This window comes from Homo sapiens, chromosome 7, assembly GCF_000001405.40.
Source record: "Homo sapiens chromosome 7, GRCh38.p14 Primary Assembly".
In the NCBI taxonomy this organism is placed as follows: Eukaryota; Metazoa; Chordata; class Mammalia; order Primates; family Hominidae; genus Homo; species Homo sapiens.
Genome location: NC_000007.14, coordinates 142,693,373 through 142,712,372, shown reverse-complemented (window position 1 = coordinate 142,712,372; position 19,000 = coordinate 142,693,373). Strand labels below are relative to the sequence as shown.

At 40.3% G+C, this 19,000-nt stretch overlaps 2 pseudogenes and 1 further gene, besides 7 other annotated features; all 3 read right to left on the bottom strand.

Moving 5' to 3' along the window:
- TRB (T cell receptor beta locus) overlaps window positions 1-19,000 on the bottom strand; it is a 514,277-nt gene that overhangs the window by 100,915 nt on the left and 394,362 nt on the right.
- Window positions 442-448: a recombination feature (RSS_heptamer).
- Window positions 449-989, bottom strand: TRBVB (T cell receptor beta variable B (pseudogene); annotated as a pseudogene). Its single transcript is given in 2 exon segments — window positions 449-807; window positions 941-989. Coding segments are annotated over 2 exon segments (408 nt in total).
- Window positions 15,127-15,758: an enhancer, noted in NCBI's record as "OCT4-NANOG-H3K27ac hESC enhancer chr7:142404427-142405058 (GRCh37/hg19 assembly coordinates)". NCBI's record gives its function as "activates a minimal SCP1, AML or CMV promoter by ChIP-STARR-seq in naive H9 embryonic stem cells {active_cell/tissue: H9 hESC(naive)}" and the evidence as "EXISTENCE:reporter gene assay evidence [ECO:0000049][PMID:30033119]".
- Window positions 15,262-15,556: a silencer, noted in NCBI's record as "tiled region #352; HepG2 Repressive non-DNase unmatched - State 24:Quies". NCBI's record gives its function as "represses a minimal TATA promoter and a strong SV40 promoter by Sharpr-MPRA in HepG2 cells {active_cell/tissue: HepG2}" and the evidence as "EXISTENCE:reporter gene assay evidence [ECO:0000049][PMID:27701403]".
- Window positions 15,759-16,390: an enhancer, noted in NCBI's record as "NANOG-H3K27ac hESC enhancer chr7:142403795-142404426 (GRCh37/hg19 assembly coordinates)". NCBI's record gives its function as "activates a minimal SCP1, AML or CMV promoter by ChIP-STARR-seq in naive H9 embryonic stem cells {active_cell/tissue: H9 hESC(naive)}" and the evidence as "EXISTENCE:reporter gene assay evidence [ECO:0000049][PMID:30033119]".
- Window positions 16,151-16,159: a recombination feature (RSS_nonamer).
- Window positions 16,160-16,182: a recombination feature (RSS_spacer).
- Window positions 16,183-16,189: a recombination feature (RSS_heptamer).
- Window positions 16,190-16,674, bottom strand: TRBV26 (T cell receptor beta variable 26 (pseudogene); annotated as a pseudogene). Its single transcript is given in 2 exon segments — window positions 16,190-16,484; window positions 16,626-16,674. Coding segments are annotated over 2 exon segments (344 nt in total), but the record flags the coding sequence as incomplete, so codon positions are not given.

Below are 19,000 nucleotides of genomic sequence, written 5' to 3'. Positions count from 1 at the left end.
ATTACCCAGGTGGGTCCAATGTAATCACGCAGGTCCTTAAACGTGGAGAGCCTTTCCCGGCAGTGTTTAGAGGGAGCTGTGAGTACGCAAGTAGGGTCAGAGCAACAGAACGTGCTGCCTTTGAAGATAGAGGAAAACAACCCATAAGGTAAGAAAATCGATTCTCCCCTGGAGCCTTCAGAAAGGAACCCAGATCTGCCGACACCTTGATTTTGGCTGGGTGATACCTATGTTGGTTTCTGAACTACGGAACTGTAAGGTGATACATTTGCATTGTTTTAAGCCACTAAATGGGTGGCAATTTGTATAGTAGCAACAGAAAACTAATACAACCACCAAGACCAAAAATGTGTGGTCAAATGTGTAAGAGGGCAATTAGGATGAAAACAGTAAAGGAACGAGTAAGATCGGAGTGCAGGGTGTCTGGGGCATCTTGAGTGTGTGTGGCGGCTCATAGGTTAGGTCGCTTCACCCCTGGGGTTTGTCATATCCGCTCAGAGAGGATGTGGCTGCACTGATAGGCTGCTGCTGCAGAGGGTCTCAGAGTCTGGTTAGTGCTGGACGATTTAAGGGTTGGGAAAGATGATTATTTTTTCCCTTTTTTCTTTTTGGTTGGAATGACTATGCTGACTCAGGGCATCTTTTTCAAAGCTGCCAACTTCAGAAGAATAATTAATAGATTAAATTTATCCCCAGCCCTGGATCTTATGGATTCCAGAACGTTTGGTCTGGTTGATAGTCTGAAAACATTCCGATACAACTTTCCTGCCTCATCTCAGGGTCTGTGTTACTTTGACATTCATGAGCCTTTAAAAGAAGGATGCAGAAAAGTGACTACATAGCCCACCAGGAAACTCATGTGAAAGCCACGAGGAAGAGCCTGTTCCCAGAGCCTGGACACACCAGGATGGTGATTATCCCATGTGCGTTCTGAGAATACCTGCCCCTGTGAGCCACAGGCCACACACAGATGAGTGTCCCAGCAGCTTCTCTCCAGATTAGGTCATTTCCTCACAGAGCCTTACCAAGATATGCACTTTTAGACCAACTTAGTTCTAGAAGAAATGGTTTTTTTCTGTTCTAAATATATTCTAACAGTTTTGTTCTCCAAAATACATCTTTTAAAATTTGTTGAGTTGGTTTCTTCTGAGGCCTCTCTCCTTGGCTTGTAGATAACAATTTTTTTTTTTCTATACCTTCTTTCTGGTCTTCCCTCTTTGCATGTCTGTGTCCTAACCTCCTGATAAGGACACCAGTCATATTGAATTAGGGCCCACCCTAATGACCTAATTTTAACTTAATTATCGATGTAAAGACCCCATCTCCAAATATAGTCAGTCACATTATGGGGCACTGGGACTTAGGACATCAACATATGAAATGAAGAAGGTAGCACAACTCAGTCCATAACAATGGAAATAATAAAAGTACTTACCTTACATATTTGTTGTGGCAATTAAATGAGTTGCCATGAATAAAGAGGTTAAAGGATTGCCATGCATACAGCTATTCAAAATATTTTCTCCACTGCTGCTTTTATCACAATACTTTCTTAAGTCAGTGCCAGTCTCTGTGTTAAACTACTCACATATTGTTTCATTCAACCCTCACCCCACTTCTGAGAGGCTTATATTATTTACTTCATTTTATAGATGTGAAAACTGAGGGCTTAGAGGGCTTAAGTCACTTTCTAAAGCTACTAAGTGCCAGAAACTGTCTGACTGCAAATCCTGCACTCTCAACCATGATGTGTAAATATTTCCATTTCTCTACATGCTTTATGGTAAATGTGATGGTGAACTTACTGCTTGACAATTTGACTTTTCAATTTCTTTTAGGAATTATTTTCCAATCACTCCAGTTTCTACACCTAAAACAGAATTAATACACTTTCCTTTGCCTGTGTTGTCTCTTGGTGTCATCTCCAAGTTACTGGTGGAAGGTATCTTGAGTTATCAGCAGTGAATCCCTGCTGGTCTGCAGCAACCTCAGTTCTTGCCTCCTCAGAAGAAAATTCCACTGAGGGTCATAGAGCAGAAAAAGAGACCAAGACAAGTTTTAGAGCAGGAGTAGAAGCTTATTAAAAAGGCTTTAGAACAGGAAAGAAAAGAAAGAACACTTGGAAGAGATCCAAGCAGGTGACTTGAAGAGCAAGTGTGGCATTTAACCTTGATCCTGGGGCTTCATAGGCGGCCATCTTGTGCCCCTTTCTCATTATTCTCCCCTTAGGATAGGCTGCCCGAATGCACAGTGCCCTCCTTACACTTCGGAAGTGAGCATGCGCAGTGTGTTTAGGAAGTTGTATGCATGCCCATCTGACGCTTTCTTCCTGTTTCTGTTGGAGTGTCCCTGGAAGGTCGTACTCCACCCTTTTGTCTCTCAATGCACATACCTGGGTTCACCTGCCCAATACCTGAGATTTTATTGGAAACCTTCTTTGCTTCTCCTTGGTGCCTGCATTCAATTGACACTTTAATGTTAACAGCTGTGGATCAGCAAGAGATTGTACCTCCCTATCTCAGGCTGCTGAATTATGCATTATTATTAGAGAGGCAACGTTATAATCTCTGAATCAATACCAGATTGTCTGACATTCTGGGCGGTGGGGGGAAGGGAGCCCTCTCCTGCCCCACTCATGCCTAACTAACTACCTGTAACATCCAGGCGCCCCATGCTGCCTCCCCACATTCCTTGCAGGCTCAGGGTGAACTTCCCAAGCAGGATTGGCTTTGTTTACATGCTATGATTTCCATTATCAATGGCAGGAATCTGTTACCTTCCTTTTTCTACCCTTCTTTAGTTTTGCTTTTAGATTATTATTACAGCAATTTTAGTCAAACTGAATGTGTACTTGTATCCAGGTTGGCATCTTAAATTGAAACAAATATCATTCTATATGTGTTCACTTTCTAAACATTCATGTTTTATGTATAGATTTTTGTGAATGGTACATGGTTTTAACTGTTTAGACACTCCTACAGAAACAAACATAGGATATAATTCTCTTGAGGGGCAACGTGCTAATTTCTTGTGCAAAATGGGTTTCCATTTTTATGCTTCCATTGTGTGGGAGGGAAGCTGGACAGTGAGTGAGCTTCCTCTCTGAAATTTCTGATGACAAGAACGGTTTCTACTCTCCTGCTGTTCAGAGGGTCACGTTCTGTGTTTTTTGTCATAACCTCCTTACCTTCCTCGGTGGCAGCACTTTCATGACTGGGTGCTGCTTAGCAGGGTCCATACACATTATGCTGACAGGACAAAGGAAGGAATTATTCCCAAGATGAGTAGTCTCCCTGAAGATTGAAACAGCTGTAGTGCTCCCTGCTGGAACATTCTGATCCTAAACCTGTAGAGATGAGGAATTTGTAGAAATGGAACCTGCCAAGAACAGAAACTGGCAGAATCTGTCACAAGAAAAAGTCCCAATCAGACTTCAAGAGAGGGTTCTTGGATCTTGTGCAAGAAAGAATTCATGGGGAGTCTGAGTAAAGTGAAAGCAAGTTTATTAAGAAAGAGGAATAAGAGAATGGCTACTCCAAAGACAGAGCAGCCCTGAGGGCTGCTGGTTGCCTATTTTTATGGTTATTTCTTGATTATATGCTAAGCAAGGGGTGCATTATTTAAGCCTCCCCTTTTTAGGCCATATGGGGTTATATCCTGATGTTACTATGGCATTTGTAAACTATTATGGTGCTGGTGGGAGTGTAGCAGTGAGGACGACCAGCAGTCACTCCCATGGCCATATTGGTTTTGGTGGGTTTTAGCCGGCTTCTTTCTGCAACCTGTTTTATCAGCAAGGTTTTAAGGACCTGTATCTTGTGCTGACCTCCTATCTCATCCTGTGACTTAGAATGCCTTAACTGTCTGAGGATGCAGCCCAGTAGGTTTCAGCCTTATTTTACTCAGCTCCTATTCAGGATGAAGTTGCTCTAGTTCATATGTCTTAGACATTTCCTCCTTCCCTTTTATAAGAGAACCCTTAATCCTAAGGTTGTAGAAGGACAAAGATTCATCTTCTGTAACTTCTTCAGGCTGAATAGGGGCAATGATATTTCTGCCTGACTATTATGGTCTCTTGTGTTCAGGGTAAAGAGGAGCTCAGTCAGAAAGCTTCAGTATGATGAAGGCCATTCAGAACTCTTGAGTCCTGACGAAAGGTGATATCTGAAAGATTAATAAGTATTCGGTTTAAGAAAACATTTAGTAAGCTTAGTCTGCATTCCTACACAAAGAGTAAAACAGCAATATAACAAAATAAGCAAAAGTATCCCAAGTAAACTAAATTAGAAGGCTCTTCATGAACTGGGAAACTACTGGAACCAAGCTGACATGAGGTGGCTAGGCAATTCCAGTACATGCCCAGAATTAGAATGAAATCCAGATTTTTACATTACCAAAATGCCTTGTTTTTTCAGAGTAGCAGGCAAAGATCACTGGTTGGTTCATAGGAATAAGCAGGGTTAGCCTAAACTGCATAAACAAACAACAACTGATGAGACTAGAATTTAATACCAAGTGTAACATAGGTCTTGAAACGTAATATTCTTTCTCCTGTTTTCCATTTTCACTAAAGATAAGTCATGGTAAGACCAATTTGTTTTATTATACTTGGCCTGATTATTTATATAAAGTACAGCAAGAATAATTATTTTTCACATAGACTTTTAACACTGGTTTTGATGGAACTTTGTTTCTTAGAAGGAATCTTAGATAAGACTCTTTTTAAGCCGAGCCCTACCATGGGTTTGTATCCTCAAATACCTATGAGCTGAGTAAATTCCTCTCCTCTTGGGGTCCCAAGATAACTTGGGGCTCCTGGACCTGTTAGAAGGTGACATTGTTTACTTACCACAGGTCAGAAATCATGTACATGGACTGTTGTATCAAAGGTCTGAGGCCAGTTCCCCAAGGGGCTTTTATTGACTTGGCAAGTCAAGTTTGATTCCTTAGAGTATACCATTCCATCAAAGTCTTGGTAAAATAACCAGTTTCTCCAATTGTGTCTTGTTATCAAAAATAATAATAATAATAATAATAAAACAAAACAAAACAAAAACCCAACAGATTCTTATTACACTCATGCAAATAACTATATTGCCATAAATTGAGACTATTCACAATGAGTTTCCAAAATCTGGAGAAATCAAGTAAAGAGAAAAAAATATGCTCTCAATTTTGTTCACACATGTATACTTTACTCAATTGCTAAAAGCTGTAATAGCTCAAAAGTTTCCTTGACTCTGAAACACAAAACAAAAGATCAGCAACATTTTACACAAAAAGTTAAAGAGGAAAGCATTGCCTGAGGCAGGGTGGGGAAGAGGAGGCACTCGGAGACACCAGAGAAAGACCCACCCGTTGCAGTGACACTGAACAGTTCAGGTGGCCACGTGATGCTTGTGAAGGATCTTTTCCAGCGGTCCCATCAGCTCTCAAGTTTTCTGTTTTAGGGAGAAAACATTTTACACGTTAGACTTTTGCTAGTTTAGTCCATGCAGTTAACTTCTGTTCTGCTTGATATTCATGAACATTTCAGCTCTCCCTGAGTCCTGAAAGGTTTTCCTCTGTTCTGATGTCACAATGTCCAAATTTATCAGAAAATCTGCATTTAAAAGCACAGTTTTCTAGAGTCCTACATTTAATTCTAAACCACCTTTTACAGAGAACTAATATGAGACAATTGTCTGGATGACCAAAAGTCTTAGAACAGCCACAATTAAAGCCAAAATTGACTAGAAAAATGTGGTTGACTCTGTGGCATGCAATGATTTTAATTAACAATTATTAATAGCATACACTAAGTCATATCAGGGTTAAAGAAGTTTTTTTTAAAATAATTTTGGAACATGTACCAATGACACATTTATACAAATACAGCCCAAAAAAACCAAATGCCATTTTGTATTTGATAATGCTTCTTGTATGACTGTAATATTAAATAAGCCAAATGTCACTGCTGTATTCATGCATTATTGATGTCAAACCCAATTCTTAGTAAAACCTTATAGACAAATGTATTCAATCTTAATCATGTTGACCATAAGGTAAGGTTTTTATAAACCTTTTATAACCCTTTACAAGTTTTTGTTAAAGAGTAGAATAGTGCTTTTATTCCAATGTTCAGTTTCTAGAATAACTGAATAACACCCCTTTAATTTTAGCCAATGTTCGCACACAGAATCTCTTTTATGGTTATTTTTTTCATAAGCCTTCCACAGCTTTCTTGAACAGTCAGCTTCATCCTAACTTGAAACGATCCTTTAATGCTTTAATCTAGGCAAAAATCTAAATTCCCATGACTTTATATATATATATATATAATTTTAATGAAAAATGCATTTCACTTTCTTTACACAATTTGCATATAAAACTGTTTCTTCAGTAGTATCAATTACATGTTATAATGTTGACTCTTACCAAGGTTTTTCACCAAAAGTTGCTAAATTCAGGATTTTAATTATGTACTAGGTGTGGAGCCTAGCCTTGGACACACCAGGCAGAAGTGCAGATAAAGGCTGACTCCAGCATAGCTAGGGGGCGTGGCTAACTCCACATGTCCCCAGGTCTTATCTAGAATCTAATGGCTTCAAGGTAGGTTAATTGAAAATTTTTCAAAAGTTAAAGAAGCAGTTTATGACCTTCAAGCATTTAGCAGTCTTAATATGTGTCCTGCCTAATTTAAGCCAAATGTTTACATTTTTGAAGATATTTTTATTTTATCAATAATCTTCAAAACTGTCCTTATTTCTGGAAAATTAAAGTCACGTGAACTAAAAGGCACTACACTTTTTACTTTTCTGACAAAATATTTGATTTAAGCTCTCATTAAACCCATTAATCAATGCTCTTTTAGAAATAAACATCACATACACATAATACATGTAAATACATACACATAGGAATATAAAAAAACTCATCCCCTGAGGCAGGAATAGAACCCTGAACACAGGATGCCATTGTGAAAAGCGAAAACATGGCCACATGGTTACAGCTTCAAGCTCCCAAGGACATGCAAGACAAGAAAAAAATCTCATCCAATTTTTCTCAGGAACCTGCAGCAAAGTTTGTAACTGACCAGTTTGCTGGTCTGTCTTGAAAAGCAGTTTACAAGTGTCCTCAGCCAGTGTTCTATCATAAGGTACCCCTCTTTATGACAGAATAATACAGAAAAACACACAAAGCACATCAGATTTGCTACAGCTTAAGTCTAGCCTCAAAAACCCTTTCTTCCATTAATCAAAACTTTATAGGAGACAGTTACTTTTACCATTAATTCAACCAGTTTGCAAGGAGAAAAAGAGAGAGACAGAGAGAAGGAGAGAAAGAAGAAAGCACTGCCTGAGGCAGGGTGGGGAAGGGGAGGCACTCGGAGACACCAGAGAAAGACCCACCCATTGCAGTGACACTGAACGGTTCAGGTGGCCGCATGATGGTTGTGAAGGATCTTTTCCAGCAGTCCCATCAGCTCTCAAGTTTTCTGTTTTAGGGAGAAAATAGTTCCCCATGTCCCATGATCCTGTACATGCCTAATCCTGTTACACACAGCTGTCAGCAAGGAGTTGAAGGCAGATTAATCCAAAGAGAATAGCAGTTAACATCCTGTAGTGCAAAACCTGTTCTTAGCCCGAAAGGACTTTACCAAGACAGACTTTCTAAGAAGGGCCACTAACCCCCTAAATCTTGGAAAGGGATTCTAATCCTCCTAAATCGGGCCTCTAACCCAAGGTCATTCAAGTGTCCTTGCCTTTTATTAAGAGGGGCCTTTAACCCTCTCTGTCTTAGGAGAGACTCTAACTCCCCTAAGTTGAGCCTCTATCCCAATCCCATTCTTTACCTGGGTAGGTACTCCACCACTTACCCAAAGTTGTCCAATCGGTGCTGCAGTCTATTTCCTTGGGTTGGGGGGAGGTCTTCTTAGTATCATCCCTTCAGGGTTTGCCAGGAAGATGTTACAGGACCCCAACACTTACCCAAAGTTATCCTTTCTTTCCAGCGTTTCCTCACTACAGTCCCTTCATCATCACCAGAAAGCTGTTACAGGAAAGGCTCCTTATCCAGACCCCAAGAGAGGATTCTTGAATCTCAAGCAAGAAAGAATTCAGGGGGAGTCCATAGCATAAAGTGAAAGCAAGTTTATTAGGAAAATAAAGGAATAAAAGAATAGCTTCTCTATAGATAGAGTAGCCCTGAGGGCTGCTTGTGGCCTATTTTTATGGTTATATCCTTTTATATGCTAAACAAGGGATGGATTATTCATGCTTCCCCTTTTTAGAACATACAGGGTAACTTCCTGATGTCATGGCGTTTGTGTCATAGCACTGGTGGGAGTGTAGCAGGGAGGACGACCAGAGGTCACTCTTGGGACTATTTTGGTTTCGGTGGGTTTTGGCCAGCGTCTTTACTACAGCCTGTTTCATCAGCAGGGTCTTTACGACCCGTATCTTGTGCTGACCTCCTATCTCATCCTGTGACTTAGAATGCCTTCACCATCTGGGAATGCAGCCCAGTAGGTGTCAACCTTATTTTACCCAGCTCCTATTTAAGATGGAGTTGCTGTGGTTCACATGTCTCTGAAAAATCCACCCTTAAAAGTGGCATCGTCTGATTCAAACTCCTGCCTTTGTACTTTTGCCTCTTAGGCTACTTCCCGGCACGACTTCTTTCATCAGCTGCCTTTTTTCAGCTGCTTGGAAATAGAGCCTTATAATAGTTTTCTCTTACTGCTGTATCCTATTACTGCAAATTAGTGGCTTAAAACAACGCAAACTTATTATCTTACAGTTCTTTTGGTTGGAAGTCCAGGGTCGGTCTCATTGGCAGTTTGCTCTTTGGAGGCTCTAGGAGAGAATGTTTTCTTTTTTCTCTTCTAGCTTCTAGAGGCCTCCCACATTCCTTGACTTGTGGCCCCTTTCATTATCTTCAGCAGCAACAGCAGGTAAAGTTGTCACATCACTCTCACCATAGTCCATACACTTTTATGTACCTATGTGTTTATACTGAGCCCACCTGCATGAGTCAGGATAATCTCCCTGCCTCAAGGTTAGCTAATTAGCACACTAAACTATCTACAAACTTAATTATCTTTTATTATGTATGGTAACATATTTACAGGTTCTGAGGTTTAGGACATAGACACCTTTCGGAGTCATTATCCTACCTACCAGTAGCCCTTAGACAGAAAAGGAAGGCAAGGGTTGTTAAATTTAAGAAATATACTTTGGAGGAAGAAGGAGAGAAGAGGCAAACCCAGGATCAAATCATTGTAGACATTGCTGATTTTTTTTTTTTAACAGCCACATAATGAACACCTGTTAAATATCAGGTGCTGTTTCAGACCCTGAGAATAGAGGCATAAACACAGAAGTCAGCATCCCTGTTCCCATATTAATTGTGTCTGATCATTCATTAAACATGGATGTCATGCATAGGAGAAGATTCTGGGGAAGGAATAATGGAAAGGCGTGGCATTTGACCACATGGATTTTGTAGGCCCATGGTAAGATCACTATACCAATAAACATGATAATTTGGTATTTGCAGAAAGGGAGAATTGTGTAAGCTATGGAGAATACAGGGGAAAGAGTCTACAATCTTCTTGGGAAAATGGCACATTTCATGTAGTGCTATTGTTTTAAGTTATATTTGAAAGGAATTTGCAGGTGTGCTGTGTAAGGGAAATACTATGCACAGCATGTTTGGAGATAGAGTTCAGTGTGGCTTAGAGCAAAGTAAGTGGGACTGTGAGTGGTAGGTGTGACTGGATTTCATATTAGGCTTGTAATCATAGAAACCTTTGTATATGTTACACACTTTTTTTCACCCACCCATCTCCTTCCTAGATGGATTTAATCACTCCCCACTTTCCACTACACCCAGGGCTCTCCTGGCCCACAGCAATGTAGGAAAGTAGAAAATGATTTAGCAGATTGAAGAAGACAGAGTTTGTCAGCATGCTATACATAGGTGTACTTGAAGAGTTGGTGAATACATAGAGACAAAGGGCTGACTATATTGTGTGTGTTTCAATCAGGCTGGGTATGATCTGCTCATTTGGTTTTCACCTCCTCCTGGACATGTCTGGGATTCTGAAGCAGTGACCCATTCTTCCTACTCATAAGAAGCAAGTGTTTTAGAATATGAGTGCTATTATTATTCAAGTATGGTAGAGCTAATGGATGAGGAGACAGCTGCCACTGAAAATACAGTTTGTTACCTACGATTCCCAAGAAGAAAGGGGCATGACACACTATGCAGGGCAATACAGGCCCAGTTTTTTGTTTGTTTGTTTGTTTGTTTTTCTTGAGATGGAGTCTTGCTCTGTCACCCAGGCTGGAGTGTAGTGGCATGATCTTGGGTCACTGCAACCTCTGCCTCCCAGGTTCAAGTGATTGTCCTCCCTTGGCTTCCCAGGTAGCTGGGATTACAGGTGTGCACCACCATGCCTAGCTGATTTTTGTATTTTTAGTAGAGATGGGGTTTCGCCACGTTGATCAGGCTGGTCTAGAACTCCTGACCTCAAACTGATCCACCTGCCTCAGCCTCCTAAAGTGCTAGGATTACAGATGTGAGCCACTGTGCCTGGCCCCAATTTTTTTTAAGGCCTGAAACAAATTATTTGAAACCCAGTCATACCCTGTCGTCGTTGCCCCAGTTAAAACTTCTCCCTATGTGGTTGTCGGCTATATGGTCTATTTCTCATTCCCCTGACCCAAAACCCAGCACACTCCAGAGCTGCTGACCATGATAAAGCCTAATGGCCAATGCTAGAGTCCTGCAAGTAAGTTTTCTCCTTCTGAAACGTTTTCTTTAAAGTAGCTGACTCATAACCCCCATAGGAAAGCCTAAGGAATAGTTCCACTGGCCTCACCCACCCCCTCCTTCTGCCTTTGCCTGTACCCTCCCTTCCCTCCCAAACTGGATGAGCTCCTGCCATCTTCACACTTCTCTTAGGCCTCTCTAACATCTTTGGGTTCTGTGAGTAATAAATTTCTTCCTTTCATGCATTTTGTTTTCACTTCCTCCACTGTGTCTCACCTGACACTCACACCTGAATTTAACTCCCCCTCCCCTGAGTCAGAGGTCTCCTAGAGAATGGCTATATTGGTTTATGGCTAGTCTAAAAAGAGAGACCTCAAGACCAAGTTAGAAAAAAATCATAGCAATAAGAATCACAACAGTGGGTCAGAAGATAGAAGGAGTGACAGGAAACATTGGCAAGAACCTTTATTGTGGTTTTCACTGAACGAATGAGGGAGGCAGGGTACACAGGCTAAGTAGGCTTAGCATGGGCTAGTTTAAAAATTTGAGCAGGCTCCAAAGTGTAGGGATTATCTCAAGTTGTTTAGTACCTGGCCCTGTGGTAATTAGGGTAGGAGAATAGGGGCTTAGAGTATGAGAGCCCAATAAAGGAGGTGGTTTGGAGTAGAGGCTTTGGATTGGTTGATTTGGTATGAAAGGCATGCTCTAGGGAAAGTAGTTTGCTATCCCTAGGAATGAGTTAACACTGAGAGGGTCAGTCCCTCCAAGATCAGCAAGTCCTCAGATGTCAAAACATCAGAAAATATGGATGTCAAAACATTAGAAAATACAGACAATAAGAAGGCATGATTAATACAGTATGTCCTCCTCAGTACCCAACTGATATGGTTTGGCTCTGTGTCCCCATCTAAATTTTACCTTGAATTATAATCTCCATAATCCACAGGTGTCAAGTGTGGCACCAGGTGTAGGTAATTAAATCGTGGGACCAGTTTCCTCCATGCTGTTCTCATGATAATGAGTGAGTCTCACGAGATCTGAAGGTTTTATAAGCATCTGGCATTTCCCCTGCTGGCACTCACTCCATCCTGCCACCCTGTGAAGAAGGTGTCTGCTTCTTTTGCCCTCCACCATGATTGTAAGTTTTCTGATGCCTCCCCAGCAATGTGGAACTGTGAATCAATTAACCCTCTTTGCTTTATAAATTACACAGTCTTGGGTATTTCTTCATAGCAGTGTGAGAACAGACTAATACACCAACTATAGTGGTCTTACTGTGGGAGGATATCAAAGTGACTCAAGAAGAAAAATATAGAGCTCTTTGATACCATCCTAGACTCTAGTGTGAACTTGACATTATAATACAGTGCTATTTTTTTCTGGTAAAGGACTAATTTTCCTTTTTTCAAAATATTAAAGGGATAGTCATAATTTTTTTCATTTTAATAAACTTAGATTGTATATATTGTAGACCATGGGGGAGCCACTGAAGGATGCTGCAGAAAGAGTGATAGAAACAGATCTTTGCAATTTGGAAGTTTATACTTGGGTATACTAATAATACTAGATTAGATGAAATGAGGATTAATAAGGAACTAGAGAGATTAATGAGACCTTTTATATTTATTTGGTAAGCTAGTAAAATGGGCATAAACATGTCAGTGGTTGCAGTGATTGAGATAGCAAACAAAGAACTAAGATATTTAGGAATTAGAAATGAAAGTGCTTGCATAAAAATTGGATGTCCAGGGCAAAAGAGAAAGAAATGTGGCATGACTCTCAGTGTTCATATATTGTACAAACAAATGACTCTGTCAAGTCAGGAACTCAGAGGAAATGCATCTTGGGAGGGAAATATGATATGAGTTTTAACTTTAGGTAGAAGTGTTCAGTTGGTGTCCTGAATAAATTTAAGTTCAAATTTGGAATCAAAATGGAAAGTATAGATCTTGAATTCATTAATCCATGAGTGGTGATTCTTGTGTTCCCAGTCCCCATCATAAAGTAATGAATAGCAACTACCTCATGGAAAGAGAAAGGAGAAAGGACTGCTACCTTCTCAACAATTCTTCTTCTCTGAAGGTACATTTTCTTTGATCATTTTCTTATCTTCCTCCATCAATGGAATTTGGTAGCAATTCATTTCTGTGAAGCTCATAAGTATTTGAGGTACCCTGAGTTATCTCTGCTTAATTGTGGAAGGTGAATTAATTCACAAGAGGAGAAACTATTTGCTGTTCCGAGACTTTAGTTAGTTTCTGTATCATCCCACATTTCTTCTTCAGGAAGTTTTCACCAACTTGCTGATAATAGTCACAGTAGGTGTTCTCCTGTTAACTGGATTCTAACAGACATTTCTTTTTCAAGGCTTCATCTTGAGGTCATTGAAATTCCAATAAGTAGTTTTCTACTTATTGGAATTTCAAAGGATTGTGCTACCTCTCCCCAAATTAATTAACTGATAAGAAAAAGTATTTCCATAGTAAGTTACCTCAAAATTTATAAGGACAAAGCTAATTATATATCTCTTTTCATCTGACAACTAAGTTTATTCTCTTCAGAAAAGTGCTCTCCACACTCACTCCATTCTGCCTTTCCACTTCACTGCTCCTTCATTGGCAACTGTTCTGGTTTCATCTTTCTTCTCTTTTGTTAACTCAGGGACTAAAACAATCCTGTTTCTCGTCTTTAATCTCCAGTGTTCTTCCAGTAAGAGCCAAATCTATTCTACCTTTTTGCCTTTCCTTCCTCGACCTGGTCTTTGTTCCATTTTAATAAAGACCAATTCATTCTACTTCTGCACTATGTCCTTGATTAAGCAGTAGTAAGAAAATTTGATGCACTGCATGGCCAAAACTCTTAACCATCTCTTGAATAGTTTTGAATTCTAATTTAATGTATTTGATTGTATGCTCTCTGAATTTCTATTCTTGACTTTCCTGGCATTTGACCTCCATTGATATGATAGGCAGAATTCCAAGAATGACCTCCAATGACTCATGCCCATGTATAATGTCCTTCACTTTGAGCATGAGTGGAACCTAAAAATGAGATGTCACTCCAGCGATTATGTTACATTATTTGACAAAATAAATACTATTCAGGTTGGCCTAATCTAATCACCAGAGCCCTTTAAATGCAGAGTTTTCTGTCTTGAAGCAGAAGTGGGTATCAGAGGGATTTTAAACATGAGACAGATTTGATGTGCATTTGAAGATCAAGAGGACCAGAAAGAAACTGCAAGGAGCTAATGACCAATCTCATTGGCTGTCTGTGACAGCCAATAAAAAATGAAGACCCTAGACCTGCTGTCACAAGGAACCAAATTCTACCAATACTAGGAATCATCTGGGAGGAGGAGCCAGTCTCCTGATGAGAATGCAGACAGCTGACCCCTTGATTTCCGCCTTATGAGACCCTGAGAAAAATCCAGCCACTTTTCTTGGACTTCAGACATACAGGACTATGAGATAAGACAATTGTTACTTTAACCTGCTGAATTTGCAGTAATTGGAAAACTAGTATAGGTGGTTATCACCCAACATGCATCTTTGGGGAACTACTCAGTAAATCTGTATCTCTAGCCTATCTATTCAAAGACATGGATATTGATCTTAAAAGTTATACCTGCATCTACCCAACTGAGGTTCTGCTCCTCAATAATCCCTGTAAATAAACATAGTTCATTTCTCTTAAACACACACAGTTACACACATACATGCAAATAACCTTCTTCTCTGTGGGTGATCCTGAGCCCACACAAAGTCTGCATAATGTTTACTACCCTCTTTTACTGCTGCTGAAGCCATTGTACCACTGAGGAGGTCTTGCTGCCACTGTTCTTATTTTCCTAAACAACACGATTAACCATTGAGATCGCTTTGAAGAATCTTTGAAGGGTATTTGCAAATCTGGGTTATTTGTCTTTACTTGGTAAAATTCAATTTCATTAAAATTTCCCTATATCTGTGTCTGAAAGTTTGTCTAGAAATGTGCTGTGGTTTGAATGTGTTTCTTCTAAAATTCATTTTGAAATGTAATCCCCATTGTGGCAGTATTAAGAGGTGAGAAGTGATTAGGTCATGAGGGTTCTGCTCTCATGAATGAATTAGTGACTCATAAAAGGGCTGGGGAACTAGCTTAGGCACTTTTCTCGTGTGATGACATAGTACTCAAGGTGCCGTCTCGGAAGCAGAGACCAAGGCCCTCACCAGACATTGAACTGAGGTGCTTTGTTCTTGGGCTTCCGAGCCTACAGAATTGTGACAAATTTATGTTTACAAATTATCCAATCTCAGTCATTTTGCTATAGTAGCACAAATAAACCAAGATAAGTGTTCATATCATGTTGATGCCCTGTAGTTTAGTGGGATATTGACAAGAAACTAAGGGTTTAATAACAACCAAAAAGATGTCCTAGAAGGACAAAAATGGAAAGAGGGAAGCAGGGCATATCAAATTTAGGGAAGGGCTTTGGTATAATCTTGTGTAAACCAAAAATAAAATCCCAAGCCCCACAACCAACTGTGTGGACCCCTTCTCTTGGCCAAGAGCATTCCAAAGTTAACCTGAAAAACCAGTTCAGGTCTTAGTGGGAAGTGGGGTCAGACATGCCTCATTATACCCTCTTCACTTTAGAATTCAGGCACAACCAACCAGCATTAACATTAGAATGGAGACCTTACAAGTGACAAAACAGACCTTTTGTAGCAATAAGACACCAACATGACTCACAGCAGGCCCTGAAAAAAATCAAAATATTTTACCCCAAAGTATATTTTTTGACATATTTTTAAATGGCCCTACAAAGCTGTCTATCATGAGGAAAATCTGCATTCTGTAGATAATTCTTTCCTTTTCAGGTTTTTTCCCCTGATCCAGGAGAGAATTATGAGTCTGGCACCTTTTAAAAGTCTGATTAAGAAACACAATCTCTTCTCTCTGAAGCCTGCTCCCTGGAGGCTTCATCTGCATAACAAGAACCTTTGTCCCCACAACTCAGACACTCCTTTATATTGATTTCAAATCTTTAGATGATAACTTAACTCTTTCAACCAACTGCCAGCCTGAAAAATCTCTGAATCCACCTATGACCTGGAAGCCCCCTCTTTGAGTTGTCCCACCTTTCCAAATTGAAACAATGTACAGCTTACATGTATTGACTGATGTCTGATGTCTCCAAAAAACCAAGCTGTAGCCTGAGCACCTTGGACACATGTTCTTACGCCCTCTTGAGCCTCTGCCTCTGGCCACACTCACTCATGTTTGGCTCAGAATAAATCTCTTCAAATATTTTACAGAGTTTGGCTCTTTTTGTCAATACTTGTGAGGAAACTTCTCTTATTCGGGGTGAGGAATTTTGAGGGCAGGCTTTTCCTCTTTGGTATGCACCTTTTTTTGTGTGGAGAGGATATGGCTATGCAGTGCTATGGATGAACTGCTGGCATAGAGATACACAGATGTCTGGTTGGTGCTGGCAGACTTCAGGGTCAGGGGAAAAGATGCTATAGTATTTCAAGAAACATGATACCCCTCAGAGATATCTCCTTTTTCAGTGCTCCCAGTGCCAGGTGAATAATAGACCAGCTTCAGTCCAAGTCCTGGGTCCTGTCGATACCAGTACATTGTAACATGATTCATATTCTGGGAACACTGTAGAATGAATTCCTTTCCTGTCCCAATGATTCTGTGTCTTGGGAATTGTGTAACTACAGCATCTTTGAGGCCTGTTGGGGGGAAAAATGGATGATCAAATAGAGACAGGGCCTGGGAAAGAGGAGACTAATGTGAGTTTTATGAAGAAACATTTTATAGTTAGATCCTGTGAATTCAGTAATAGGGATTCCTTACCTGTGCCCAGGACTCACCTGCTCTTAGGAGACAAATGATCACACAGCAGAGAAGCCTGTTGCTCATGGCAGCACCAAAAGCAGGATGTTGCTTGGTGTTGTGATGAATTTAGTCCCTGATAACCAGCACTTTTCATTTATTTCCTGGCCAGAGAAACAACACTCATCTCCCACACTGCCAACAGCTACATAACTGCAAATCATGTAGCCCAGGCATGTGCAGTAGTAAAAGCTTTGACCTCTAACAATACCCAGAACCGAAGATTCCTCCCCTTAGAAACAGGAAGACCAAGACATGACTGGAACCTGAAAGCCAGACCTCTTTCAGTAGTGAGCGGTCCACTGGCCCAGAAGATCCCAGGCTAAAATGTTTCTTAACATATCTTACCATAGATAGTCATATTTGAAGCCTTCTAATCATACCCTACCATATCAACATTCCTAAATCCTTTCCCTTGCTCTCTGATCCCTTAAAACCTGCCCTAGACCCCAAATCATGGAAACAGATTTGAACTCACTCCTTTCTTTTTGCTGACTGGTGTTTCAATAAAGCCTTTTCTTTTCTCAAAAGCTGGTGCCATAGTTATTGGCTTCTGTGTGCAAACCCATTTGTTTGATAACAAATATAGGTGCCCAATGTGAGGCCAACACCTGCCAAGGCACTGTAGCCCCTCAGTGGGAATTAAAGTTTCTTCACTGACCCTGAGTGGTGCTACCTAGACCAGTTTATCCAGAGGCTTAGCTGTGAGGTCCTTATTCTCTGTCATGACATTTCAGGCCCTTTGAGTGCTACTTTCTCTTTTGAGGGAAGAAATTGCTTCTGGATAAGATGTCTTTTGGAGTCAATACCTTGTTAATATGTGCTTACACCTTAAATTGTCTTTGGTCTAGGACTGTAGATTAGAGTCCTATTTTTGTGCAGCTTCATGGGTTTGAATCCTACCCTAGGGAGGTCCTGGTTAGATTATTTCAGTCCTGGCTTTGGGTTAGCATCCAAAAAAATAAGTACAATAGTAAGGTGCTGTAACTTTTTGAGTATTCAATTCGGCTTGGTTTTGGTTTTCCTTTGTGTTTCTGAGTTTTTGGTTTGCATAATTATTCATCCTAACAGAGGTTAAAATTTTTGATGGTTGTGACAAGAACCTCATTAGAAGTTTATTTAAATGAAAGTCCTTGGATTCCAAAGATGAAATACATTGCTTTCTCCTGCCCTTTTAGGGTATTCCTAAGTGACTAAGAGTCTGGCAGAGGTGTTGAGGCAATTGGCTTATGATGTAAAGTGATTTTATAGGCAACCCCACCAGAAAAACATACCCCATTCCTGGGTTAGAACTTCAATAGCTCATCCAGGAGGAGCATACAAGGGGCCTTGGTAACCCCAACATCTCAAGCGGCCCAATACCATCTGGTGTTTAGGACCCTCTGAGACACATAAGAGGGAATATCTAGCCCATTGGTGATTCTCTGAAGAGGAATCCCCATAATCACAATACCACAGAACCAGAACACCTCCTTTTTACAGGATCTTATTCCAGTCATTTCAGGTAAAACTCTATACAAAATGGGAAACTTTAATAACATACTTGTCTATAGTCTTTTAAGATAAAACTCCCCACAAATCAACATACCACATGCCACAGCTTACTCATAGCAACCAGTAATGATGAGACCCAGGGACTTCTATACACTCTATTAGCTCTGTAAACATTTCCCACCAAGAAGTGCAGATGACAATTGGTGTGCAAAAGTGATGCATAGATTTTCTAGTTGACCATGGAGCTACATACTCTATTCCAAACACAACACAAGTCCCTGTCTTCCCAAAGAACACTGCTATTACTGGTGCATCTGGGGAAACATCCTTGCAAACCTTTCTTTCAGCCACTCAAATGCCATAGAGGAAAAGCCTATTAAACCTATTTAAACATAGCTTCCTATATATGCCTGAATGTTCAATACCTTTGTTGGGATAAGACTTGCTAACAAAATTAAATGCACAGTAATTTTTCACCAGAATGAGTAAATATTAAGGTGTCTCCTAAACAAGACTGCACCCTCCAAGTTGCCTTATTACAGGTAGAAGAAGGACCATTGCCTGAAATCCCTAAAGAGGATCTACAAAAACAGGTCTGGCTTGACAAATCAGTTTTTGAAATACCCAGGCCTGGGAATGTTTACCAGTGTGAACAGCTTCATGGATCAGGGTCTCTGAAAAGCCAGATATGCAGTAGTGACTTACCAGAGAATGTTAAAAGCTGAGGCTTTCCCATCAGTTCTCTCTGCCCAAAAGGCAGAACTTATTGCCGTCACACAAGCTTCACACCTCAGGACAAATGAAAAGGTAACCATTTATATAGACTCCAAATACGTCTTTTTGGTAGTGCACGCAAATG